The 13,281-nt window shown below is 39.8% G+C and overlaps 1 protein-coding gene across 22 annotated transcripts in view; it reads right to left on the bottom strand.

Annotated features, from left to right (window-relative positions):
• Nucleotides 1-13,281, bottom strand: part of PDK1 (pyruvate dehydrogenase kinase 1) — a 168,940-nt gene that overhangs the window by 101,449 nt on the left and 54,210 nt on the right. For 7 of the 22 annotated variants that reach the window (NR_103731.1, XR_001738771.2, XR_007076391.1 and 4 more), the window contains one exon: nt 1,362-1,440. The exons of 13 other annotated variants lie outside the window; for them this stretch is intronic. The gene's annotated coding sequence lies outside the window, so the exon portion shown is untranslated. Of the gene's footprint in view, nt 1-1,361; nt 1,441-8,137; nt 8,458-13,281 lie in introns of those variants that run through there. 2 more of the 22 variants (XR_922945.1, XR_001738775.3) reach the window with 1 other exon arrangement.

Genomic DNA, 13,281 nt, shown 5'->3' with positions numbered 1-13,281 from the left:
ATTACATATAATATATAAACATATATCATATTACATATAATATATAAACATATACATAATATATAAACATATCTCACATATGAGATATAAACATCTCACATAATGAGATATAAACATATCTCACATAATATGAGATATAAACATATCTCACATAATATATGAGATATAAACATATCTCACATAATATATGAGATATAAACATATCTCACATGAGATATAAACATATCTCACATAATGAGATAAACATATCTCACATAATATATGAGATATAAACATCTCACATAATATATGAGATATAAACATATCTCACATGATATAAACATATCTCACATAATATATGATATAAACATATCTCACATAATATATGAGATATAAACATATCTCACATAATATGAGATATAAACATCTCACATAATATATGAGATATAAACATATCTCACATGATATAAACATATCTCACATAATATATGATATAAACATATCTCACATAATATATGATATAAACATATCTCACACAATATATGAGATATAAACATATCTCACATAATATATGAGATATAAACATATCTCACATAATATATGAGATATAAACATATCTCACATAATATGAGATATAAACATCTCACATAATATATGAGATATAAACATATCTCTCATGATATAAACATCTCACATAATATATGATATAAACATATCTCACATAATATATGATATAAACATATCTCACATAATATGAGATATAAACATATCTCACATAATATATGAGATATAAACATATCTCACATAATATATGAGATATAAACATATCTCACATATATGAGATATAAACGTATATACGAGATATGAACATGCATCATGAGCTATAAACATGCATCATGAGATATAAACATACATCATATGAGATATAAAATATACCACATATATGAGATATAAACATATATCATATAGGAGATATAAACATATATCATACATATGAGATATAAACATATATCATACATATGAGATATAAACATGTATCATACATATGAGATATAAACATATATCATACATATGAGATATAAACATATATCATACATATGAGATATAAACATATATGACATATATGAGATATAAACATATATGACATATATGAGATATAAACATATAACATGTTTGATATATAAACATATATATGATATATAAACATAAACATATATCATATATATGATAAACATATATGATATATAAACATATGATATATAAACATATATGATATATAAACATATATCATATATAAACATATATCATATATAATATAAATATATAAACATATATATATAATATATATATAAAAAAGAAGAGTTTATTAAGTATTAACTCACATGATCACAAGGTCCCACAACAGGCCATCTGCAAGCTGAGGGGCAAGGAAAGCCAGTCCAAGTCCCAAAACTGAAGAATCTGGTGTCCGATGTTCAAGGGCAGGAAGCATCCAGCATAGGAGAAAGATGTAGGCTGAGAGGCTAAGCCAATCTAGTCTTTTCACGTTTTTCTGCCTGCTTTATATTCTAGCCACACTGACAGCTGATTAGATGGTGCTCACCCAGATTAAGTGTGGGTCTGCCTTTCCCAGCCCACTGACTCAAATGTTAATCTCCTTTGGCAACACCCTCTCACAGACACACCCAGGATCAATACTTGCATCCTTCAATCCAATCGACAGTCAGTATTAACCACCACGCATGCCCAGTGAATTTCTATATTTTTAGTAGAGATGGGGTTTTGCCATGTTGGCCAGGCTGGTCTTGAACCCCTGGCTTCAAGTGATCCGTCTGCCTTGGCTTCCCAAAGTGCTGGGATAACAGGAGTGAGCCACCGTGCCCAGCCGACATGTTCTAATCATCAGAAATTTGTTCTTTTTTCTCCTTTGAGCCTGTATTAGGCCATTCTTGCATTACCATAAAGAAGTAACTAGACTCGGTAGTTTCTAAATAAAAGAGATGTAATTGGCTCACGGTTCTGCAGGCTGTACAGGAAGCACTGTGGCATCTGCTTCTGGGGAGGCCTCAGAAAACTTTTACTTATGGTGGAAGGCAAAGGGAGAGCAGGCACTTCACATGGTGAAAGCAAGAACAAGAGTGTGAGGTGGGGAGTGCCACACACTTTTAAATGACGAGATCTTGCGAGAACTCACTATCATGAAGACAGCACCAAGGGGATGGTGTTACACTATTCATAAGAAATCCAGCCCATGATCCAGTCACCTCCCACTAAGTCCCACTTCCAATACTGCGGATTATAATTCAACATGAGATTTGAGTGGGGGAGACAGAGCTAAACCGTATCAGAGCCCCACAGAATGAGCCTGCATAGGATGACGGGTCTCATTTTCAGATTACCCTAGGTTCCCTGAGGCTTTTCTTCTCCAGGCTTCATATCCTCAGTTCTGTCCAACTTCCCTCACATGCCATCGTTTCCACCGTCCCCTCTATCTTGATCACTTTACTGTGGCCATGTTTCAGTCCTCTTTGGGCAAGGTTGTTCACTGTATTATAAATCTACCTGTGCTTCTGTCTTCTGGTTCCCATTCTTAAATCTTATTCATGATATTTTAGGAGACTGTCCAGTTATTTGCTGAAGTCCAGATACCTATTTCAACAGCCTTTGTCTGACCAAGACAAACTATCAAAAAAATAAATGAGTTTTGCTTTGCTTGTTTGAGACAGGGCCTCACTCTGTCATCCAGACTGGAGTACAGTGATGTGATCTTGGCTCACCACAACCTCCGCCTACCAGGCTCAAGCAATTCTCCTGCCTCAGCCTCCTGAGTAGCTAGGATTACAGGTGAACGCCACTACCGCCTGGCTAATTTTTGTATTTTTAGTAGAGATGGGGTTTTGCCATGTTGGCCAGGCTGGTCTCGAACTCCTGACCTCAAATGATCCACCCACCTGGGCCTCCCAAAGTGCTGGGATTACAGGTGTGAGCCACCTGCCCAGCCTGAGATCAGTTTTGTCTGGAATGTTCTTCATGTAAAACATTAAGATTGCCAATCTGTAATTTGCAGCATCCTCTTTCTTCCTTCTTTAAATGAAACTGAGACTCTTCCCTGACTTTGATCATCTGATCCTTTTCCCTTTTTCATGAGCCATCAAAGGCTATTATAAGCTTTCATGGATCTCATCACAGATCCTGTCAATATCCTTGGGTGTAATTGTGGCGAGATAATATTTTGAGATATTACCTGAGAAATCCTTCTCTGAATTTTTTACTCTTTGCCTTTTATTCATTTAGTCAATGCATTCATTGCCTCAGGGAAAGACTGTTACCGCAGAAAACCAAAGAAAGAGCTTCTAAAATTTCTGAAGCTTATGCTTTTAGATTAAAAAAAAAAAAGCTAGGCCTAGAGATAATGTAAGCACAAAAATTTAATGGGGGAAAATGAGTTACGGGCAGTGTCTGCTTTTCCTGGTCCTCTGCTTCCCTTCAGCTCCACCCCTGGTCCACTGAGCTATGGAAATTTGTTCAGACTATGGGAAGACAGAGGAGAAATCCTCAAGACAGTTGGAAATCCAAGAACAGGAGAGAATGTGGGCATCCCTGGTGAATAAGGCAAGGCTTGAGGGTTTTCTCCTGCCCAGGAGCAGAATGAGTGCAAATGTCCACATGATGTATCCCAGCAGCCCAAGACAACCTCACAAGGCCCTGCTCTCCCCAGTGCAGTGGAGGGCAGGGGGTGGCAGAATGATTTCCTGTAAGCCTGAGGGTAGCATACAAGTGGTGAAAGTCATGCAAAGATGAGGACTTAAAACAGAAATGTATGAGTACTAGGAAGAAAAACCTGCATTACTTCTTACAGCGGATACTGCAGCACTTCATCCAGAGTTGCTCTATAGGGTCGATGCATCTAACTCCAAGCTGCTGGGGATATTAGCTGCAGACCATAATTTCTTTACCCAAAGTCACACCCTTCCCAGTACTCACTGATGCAGGAATAAAATGGCCCACTTCTCTAGCCTCAATGTGGGACAACTCTGAAGAGCCATCCCCAACTCTGGAACTCCCAGAAGGATCAGCTGGGACCTCAGCTGCAGCCACACTGTAGGAAAGCTTCTTACTTTGGTCAGTCCTACCTGCCCCAACTCCTTCCAGCTGTATTTTCTAAGAACTCTCCCAAACAAATTTTCTCAGCTCTCCTTAATTTTGTTGCCAGGGAATTCATCAAAGATATCTGCTCACCTGAGACAATAGCTTGACGATTTCATAATTCTGCTCCAAACATAACTTTTCCAGGTGCAGAGATAAATTATTTTAGAGAATCATGGTTTGCACTATTATTCTTTTCTTCTTTATTCATCTTTGGCTTCAGTTCTCACACAGCAATTTTACTTCTACTCTTTCCTACCAGATGATGATTATTAAAGTGAAGCAAAGTAGGAATGGAATGTTTTAATCTTTATTGCTTGTTGCCATCATTGTCCAAACATTGGACCAATGTATCCTTGCCATCTACTTTTGGGTAAACTAAAAAAGATCTCTTGTTTTTGTCTTTAGCATTTTTCAAAATATCTCATTCTAAAATTTTAACTTTTCTTTTTCAATCTTATACACTTGAATGTTTTATATCTTAAGATGAATGATGACTTCAGGGTCCTAAGCCAGTTTACAAAAGCCTCCTTTGTATAATAAGTCCTACCTACATAGTCTACCATCTCACTATAGAATGTAGGGGTAGTTGGATCCTTTTATTTTATATGCAGACTTGGAAGCTTCCACTAAAACTGACAGAGTCTCATTTACTGTCCTGTTACATTGCAATAACCTAAATAACTGTGATCAAATGAGTGTTTAAATCATATCTATTACAATGGAAAACTATATAACCCCTAAAAGTGTTGAGGGTGATTTATGGGTTCTAACATGAAATATGTTTTGTAAGTAAAGGAATAGGTTATTGCCGAATAGTTTTCAGCAAACAGGTTTTTTTTAAATAAAGTTATGTGTTTAATGTGTATAAATATATGTATGTTTGCATATACATAGAAAATGTTAGGAATAATGCACAAAAATATTCACAGTCATTATATCTGGGGCATGGAATTAAAAAAGTTCAGAGGTTCAGAGGATGCTATGGTTTGAATGTTTGTTCCCCTCTTAACTCATGTGTTGGAAGCTTAATCCCCAATGCAACAGCACTGGGAGATGGGGCTTAATGGGAGGTGTTTAGGTCATGAGGGATCGCCCTCATGGATAGGTTAATGCCATTAGAAAAATGGCCTGCAGGAGTTGGTTTGCTGTCTCGGTCTTCTGCCATATGAGGATATGATGGTCCTCCCCTCAGATGACACAGTGTTCTAGGTGCCATCTTGGAAGCAGAGAGACCAGGCCCTAACCTGCCAGTGGCTTGCTCTTGGACTTTCATCCTCCAGAACTGAGAGAGAATAAATTTTCATTCTCTATAGATTACTCAGTCTGAATCTTCTGTTATAGCAGCACAAAATAGACTAGAGGGGAATATTTTTTATTTAATATAAATTATTTCATTTAATAAGAATTATCTCTTTAATAAAACATTATTTAATAATTTTATCGATTTAATTTTCTTAAGTATTATTTGAATTTTAAAATAACTGGCCAGGCGTGGTGGCTCATGCCTGTAATCTTAGCACTTTGGGAGGCCAAGGTGGGCAGATGACTTGAGGTCAGGAGTTTGAAACCAGCCTGGCCAACATGGTGAAAATCCATCCCTACTGAAAATACAAAAAAAATTAGCCATGTGTGGTGGCAGATGCCTGTAATCCTAGCCACCCAGGATGCTGAAGCAGGAGAATCGCTTGAACCCAGGAGGTGGAGGTTGCAGTGAGCCGAGATCACGCCACTGCACTCCAGCCTGGGTGACAGAGTGAGACTCTGTCCAAAAATAAATAAAATAAAATAACCAATCATTATTTTTATAAATTACAAAGACAGAAAAAGAACATCTTATTGGGAAAGTACACTGTATACCATGTTCTGCTTTTGTTTTCAAGTTGACTTTCCAAGACACTACCCTGAAAGAAAATATGCATTCTACTGTCAGTCCTACTACTAGCCAATTTAGATGCAGAAGTAGGCTATTCAAGAGGGAGCATTATTTTATTGCTTTTAAAATTAACCTAATAATTTAAAAATATTTCTAAATTAAAAAATAACCCATCACATATAAGTAAATTATGTAGCATAATATGAACCTCTATGAACCTATTTCTCACAAAACCTTCAATTTGAATGAATACCATTCATTCACCTATGTGCTTTTCCCTATTCCATCCATGCAACCATTAGCCTGAATTTTGCACTTATCATCCCCTCACCTTTCAAAAAACGTAGGTTTTCATATGCCTGAGCATTGTTTTGTTCGTGTTGGTTTTTTTAGTTTATGGCAATATCATACAGTATCAGTCTCTTGGGAGTTCTTTTCCACTCAAAATTGTGTTCCTAAGATTCATCCATGTGTGTAGCTATAGTTCATTAACTGCTGTATTTCGCTGGATAAATATATCAAAACTTACTTATTTCACATCATTGGGTTTTGAGAGTATTTCCAGTTGTTTTTAGCATTCCAAATATGTGCAAATTTTCCTAGAATGTACGTCTAGGGGTAGAGTTTTAGGTCACAAGTTATTTCAATGTATAACTTTACAAAAAAACTGCTAAATTGGTTTTGAAAGTGATTTTACAAATTTACACATGCATTATAATGTATGAGAGTTCACAATGATTCATATTCTCACATTTGGCTTTGTTAGACCTTTAGTCTAAGGGATATAAAATAGAACCTCAATGTGGTCTTAATTTGTACTTCCTTGATTACTAAGCAGGTTCAGCACCTACTTACATGAGATTTGGCTGGCTGGCTTTCTTCTATAAAGTGCCTGTTCGTAGCTGTGTCCCCATAGTGCCTCTTCCGTTGTAGGCACTCCCTAAATGTTTGTTGAATAAATGTAGCATGTAGCAAAGTAAGACTTAGGATATGGACTTGCTAATTTAAGAAAGACGTTCTTTTTTACCGGGCACCACAAGCTCTACTTCCCTAACCTTGTAATTTAATAAGTCTCATTATATAGCCAATTTAGTTAACTGACCAATAACTGATTCTTTTGCATAATTGATTTGTTTCAAAAAGTGTTCACGGAATTATTGTAAAGATGATTTTGCATAAGATATTACTTACCCTTGGTGAAGCAGTATTTTGCTTCTATTAATTAATGTTTTTTTTTTTGAGACAGAGTTTCGCTCTTATTGCCCAGGCTGGAGTGCAATGGTGCAATCTCGGCTCACTGCAACCTCTGCCTCCCAGGTTCAAGCGATTCTCCTGCCTCAGCCTCCCGAGTGGCTGGAATTACAGGCACGCACCACCACACCTGGCTAATTTTGTATTTTTAGTAGAGAAGGGGTTTCTCCAGGTTGGTCAGGCTGGTCTTGAACTCCTGACCTCAGGTGATCCATCCGCCTCGGCCTCCCAAAGTGCTGGGATTACAGGCATAAACCACTATGCCTGGCCTCTATCATTTAATTTTAATGGCAGTAGAGAAGTTCTAAATTTTGTTCTAGTGACTGAACAACTCAAACAGTGCTGCTGTTTTCAGAGTAGAGCATTTTTTTCAGAAAAACATGAAATATTGAATCCAACGTTGGCAGTGATGCAAGATTTCTCTCAGACCCTTTGCCAGACTCCCAGCAGGGGCACCCTGTCTACTCGGCCTGCTGTGCTCAACCCCTTGCGGCAGGGAGCACGTCAGTAAACAAGTGTGGGATCCAGGCGGCCACTCCACCCACACAGGAGCAAACTCCGTGCAGGGTCTGCAGCCAGACCAGGCAAAGTTATGTCCAAGAAAAAGTGTAAACAGTATTAGTACACAATAGTACACTGTTGTGTACTAATACTTAACAGATATGTCATGAGGCATCAAATTTATGAAGAATTAATACAACTTAAAATTCAGAAAAATGTTATCTGTTAACTTAATTTTTATGAAATCTTTTTGTGTTTCTGAATTAGAAATAGATTATTGTTACAGGATCTCTGGGGTGTCAATTTTTCTGGCCAGAAACCTCTATGGCCATGGTGCCTGAATTCTTGTCCTCCATCCAGGGAAGAATGAGGTATGCAGACAAGTGAAGGGTGAAAAAGAGTTTTATTGTGTTGGAACAGCTCAGAGGAGTGGGTGGCTCCTCTCTGTAGGCAATTATCCCATTGGGTGTTCAGCTCTCAGCTGAGAGAAGGCCCTGAAAAGAGTGGCTCCTCTCTGCAGGCAAGTCATTCAGATGTCTGCAGGTCTCTGAAGCTCTCAGCAGACGGCAGCTCCTCTCTGCTAACAGTTTCTCTCTGAAGGTGGTCGCCCATCATCTCCAGTTATCAGTAGAGTACTCCTCTCTGCAGCTGGTCATCCCGTCATCCTCTGCCCTGCTCTGGCTGAGCCCAGGGCTTTTACGGACCTCAGAGAGGAGGAAGTACATGCTGATTGGTCCATAGGCAGCCATGAGCAGCACGGAAGAGCATGAGTCCCCACTCCTGTTGGAGGGACTGGCAGCCACTGGCAGCCTGGTCCCCAGTCTTCAGGACCTCCCTGGCTGGAAGGTGGGGACTTACTGGGGACTCGCCCCTTCCATTCAGGACTCTGTCTGAACAGGTACCCCTGAACCTGCAGGGATGGGGGTTGGGGGGGGGGGTCCTTCCTGGGACCCCTGAGGGCACAGGCTGCAGAGATTCCCGGGTTCTACACCTGGGAGGGCGGTCACGGCTGCACCCGCGAGCTCCCACCCCATCAACTTGGAAGGGGCAGGGCTCCTGCTTGTCCACAGCTCCTGCCTGCTTCCTGGAGCAGGAGACCCAGATCTGCGGCTGTGGGTGCGGCAGCTGCAGCTGCACCCAGGAGGGCAGATCCTGCCTGTTCCTGGCTCCCTCAAAAACACAGGGAAGCTTGGATCCACAGCTGCAGTTTGAGGAGCCCAGGAGGGCGGGGCTCCTGCCTGCTCCGTAGAGCAGGAGGGTCTACAGCTGCGGTTTGGGTGGCTGCAGCAGCACTGGGAGTTCCTGTCCCAACTCAGAAGGAGAAGGGCTCCCCCTGGCTCCATGGAATATGCAGCCCCAGCCACACTTCCCTGCTGGCATCATTATTACACATTTTTAAGTGGGTAGGTATTCCACAGAAATATGTTTTTAAAACCACCCTTCAGATAGTCCAGATAGGAGACTATCTGATAGGGAATAAGTTAAAAAGTCAAAGGTGGGCATGGTGGTACACCTGTAATCTCAGATACTCAGGAGGCTGAGGTGGGAGGATTATTTGAGCTCTGGTGTTTGACGCTGCAGTGAGCCATCACTGTGCCACTGCACTCCAGCCTGGGTGACAGTGAGACTCCATCTCTTAAAAAAAAAAGGAATTAGCAGCAAAAAAGGTCAAATAAGGATAAGGATTTTACTATTTGTCTTCTCCAGCATTTCTTCTAAAGTCATGGAGCGTACTGCTCAATTTCCCCTCAAGAAAGAATGTACAGTTTAGCTGTAAAGAATGCAAATTAGCTGATAAGCTCCATCTGTCAGTTCCTTCAGGCTGTGTGCTTCAGCTTTCAACGCAAGGCCACACCCCTAGGGAAGTCCCTGCCAATGACTGAGCAGGGCCAGGGTACCAGCCATTTCTGCCCTGAGTGGGTGTCCTCATGGGCAGTCTTCGCTCCTGAGCTCCTCCTGTTAGTCAAGACTCAGTTCTGCATCATGGTCTGAGGTTCTCTATGCCCAGTACTGCTTCCTCCACAATTCATTTCTAAATTGTTTCGTTACCCTCCAATAAACCTTTTACATTCCTGTCTCAGCATCTGCTTCCCAGAGTACCCAAATGACACAACTTTTCTGTAGCAAAGGCTTTAATTAAAACACTAGCTGGGCCGGGTGCGGTGGCTCATGCCCGTAATCCCAGCACTTTGGGAGGCCGAGGTGGGCGGATCACCTGAGGTCATGAGTTCAAGACCAGCCTGGCCAACATGGTGAAACCCCGTCTCCACTAAAAATACAAAAATTAGCCAGGTGTGGTGGCATGCCTCTGTAATCCCAGCTACTAGAGGAAGGAGAAATGCTTGAACCCAGGAGGCAGAGGTTGCAGTGGGCTGAGATCACGCCATTGCACTCCAGCCTGGACAATTAACAGTGAAACTCCGTCTCAAAAAAAAAACACTACTGGTAGCATTTTCTTTCACTGACATGCATGTACAGCATGTATTTGGCTAAATACACAGAAAAACTATTAGTACATTTTAAAATTGAATTTTGGATAGAGTGGTGACTGGACTTAAGAGAACACAGTGTTCCTATCACCTTCGACCATGTGTTTGAGAAATTTATGCTTAGCTTGAAAATGTTTAAAAAAAAAACAAACCTTCTAATCAATGTAAAAAACCTCTTGACATTGTTAGTTTATGACAGTGATACTAATTACTAACATATATTCAGTATTATATGCAGGAAATGTGCTAAGCATTGTACATACATTAGCTCACTTAGTTCTAGAGGCTTATGTCTAAACAATATTAACTCAGGAATTAGTTAATTGCTCTTAAGAGTTTCAGCTTTAGCCAGGAAGTGCATTAGCGTTGGATCTGGGAATTGCTATCTTGGCTGTATAATGAAAATATTCATTCAAATGTTAATGTATAACGGTGGATCTTCGGAAGAGAAATGGTCTTTACTAGCTTAGGCCAATAAAGTGCGTACCATAGGAGTAATTATGAATTTTCCAACTGCATTATACATTTAGAGAAATACTCTTCTCTGTGAGAAAACAACTTTTAAAATTGTGGCTTTGATAATTATGATATGGCAAATATGTGTTTGATTTATTCCATTTCTAGCCATGTATTTCTTTTGAATTCTGACTCACTGATTTACAAGGTGAGATATGAAAAAGTATTATTCTTACATCAGGGAGTATCAAAGATGGGAAAAGGTGCCTGAGGGCAGTCAGCACTATCAGATCCCAACGTGGGGACCACTAGCTATTTTGAATAGATGTGAATTTTGTCAAATGCTTCTTCTATGTCAATTGATATTATCATATGATTTCTCTTCTTCAGCCTGTTTCTATGATTACACTAATTGATTTTTGAATCTTGAACCATCCTTACTTAGATGGGATAAATCACATTTGGTCATGACACGTACTTCTTGTTATACATTATTGGATTTAACATTTTGGCGGGAGTTTTGCCTCTAAGTTCATGAGAAAGATTAATCTGTAGTTTTCTTTTTTGTATTGTGTTTGGTTTTGGCATCACGGTAAAACTAGTCTTATGAGTTGGGAAGTGTTTCCCTCCTGTTCTATTTTCCGGAAAAGACTGTGTAAAACCAACATTAATTTTTTTTTACATACTTAATGTATGAAACTGGTAATTTTTTTTAAATGTTTGATAGAATTCTTCAGTGACACCTAGTGGGTCTGGAGATTCCTTTTTTGAAGTTTTAAAATTACAAATTCAATTTATTTAGTGGTTAAAGGACTATGCACATTATTTCATCCTGGTTGATTTCTGGTACTTTTGAGGTTTTTGCTCCTGGTTTTATTTAAGGAAAAGATGAAAACAGTCAATGAGAGAATCACACAAAATATGAAGTTCTTACTAGTAATTTGAGAAGTTGATAGAATGCAAAGTATTTTATACTCAGGATTTGACTATCAACTTGTTCATGAATCTAAACCATTGCTGAATGTGATGTTGAGGATTTTTTCCCTTCTGAAGCCCTAAGTCTCTGATTTTATTGGCTTTATACGCTACCAAAACCCCAAGATCCACACAAATATTTCACTTAAAAATCACATATAAATTCGACAAAATAAAAACATTCCTTTGCCACTGAAATAACACTTTAGATACACGTTTGCTATTTTTACAGCTGTATTAATCAAATTAGGAAAACAGAAATAAAGAATTTTAAATAGAGGCTGGGTGCAGTGGCTCACGCCTGTAATCCCAGCCACTATGGGAGGCCGAGGAGGGTGGATCACCTGAGGTCAGGAGTTTGAGACCAGCCTGGCCAACATGGTGAAACCCCATCTGTACTGAAAATACAAAAATTAGCCGGGCATGATGACAGGCGCCTGTAATCTCAGCTACTTGGGAGGCTGAGGCAGGAGAATCGCTTGAACCTGGGAGGCAGAGGTTGCAGTGAGCTGAGACTGCACCACTGCACTCCAGCCTGTGCAAGAGAGTGAGATTCCATCTTAAAGAAAAAAGAAAAAAATTAAATAGAGATAATTTGATGTAGGAAATTGATTACACTGATAATACAAAACTGAAAAACCAAAAGGTAATTGTGAGGTAACCCAAAGATTAATAACTACAGGAAAATAATTTTTCAGTCCCACCCAGGACTGGAGAACAAAAGAAAAGATGCGGTGTTTCAAAAACCTAGGCACAGGGAGGAGCCCCCCCACCATGGTGGCTGGTGCTGGCCCTGCAAAGAGATCCGGTGTGCCCATGCTCAGAGCTCTGAGAGGCATCGTAGGGGCAGGCAGTGCCTAAACATACTGGATACCTATTTTTCAAATAGTGACTGTAGAACAAGAGGGATGATTCATGCAGTAGATACATTTTGGAGAAGATAAACCAAGAAAAGCCACTGTTGAGTGGACATAAACCTGAAATCCTATATTATAGAATTCACAGCAAAGGATATACTAGATGACAAGACATAATTCAGCTAGAATATTACAGATTAAAAGTGAATGCTGGCTTGGTGCAGAGGCTCACGCCTGTAATCCCAGCACCTTGGGAGGCTGAGGCAGGCAGATCACTTGAGGTCACGAGTTTGAGACCAGCCAGACCAACATGGTGAAACCCTGTCTCTACTAAAAATACAAAAATTAGCCAGGTGTGGTGGCAGGCACTTGTAGTCCCAGCTACTCGGGAGGCTGAGGCACGAGAATCATTTGAACCTAGGAGGCGGAGGTTGCAGTGAGCTGAGATCACACCACTGCACTCCAGCCTGGTAACAGAGACTCCATCTCAAAAAAAACAAAACAAAACAAAAAAAGTAGTGAGTGCTTTTTCTGTAGTTGTCAACAATTACAGGTTTAGCATAGGGCCCATCTACTGCATTTGCCAGATGGATAATTGAGTTTACTTTTGGGACAATACTGCAAGTACAAACAGCAGGATAATCATGCGTTCTAATGATGATGTACACTTAAGGAAACACGCATGTCCGTTTTAGAAACTAGTGTCCGCATTTCCTTCCTCAGAGCATTTCCTTCCACTTCTTTGGGTTGT

Source organism: Homo sapiens, chromosome 2, assembly GCF_000001405.40.
Source record: "Homo sapiens chromosome 2, GRCh38.p14 Primary Assembly".
Taxonomy (NCBI): domain Eukaryota; kingdom Metazoa; phylum Chordata; class Mammalia; order Primates; family Hominidae; genus Homo; species Homo sapiens.
The sequence above is the reverse complement of the archived record's forward strand: the minus strand, read 5'-3'. Positions and strand labels throughout refer to the sequence as shown.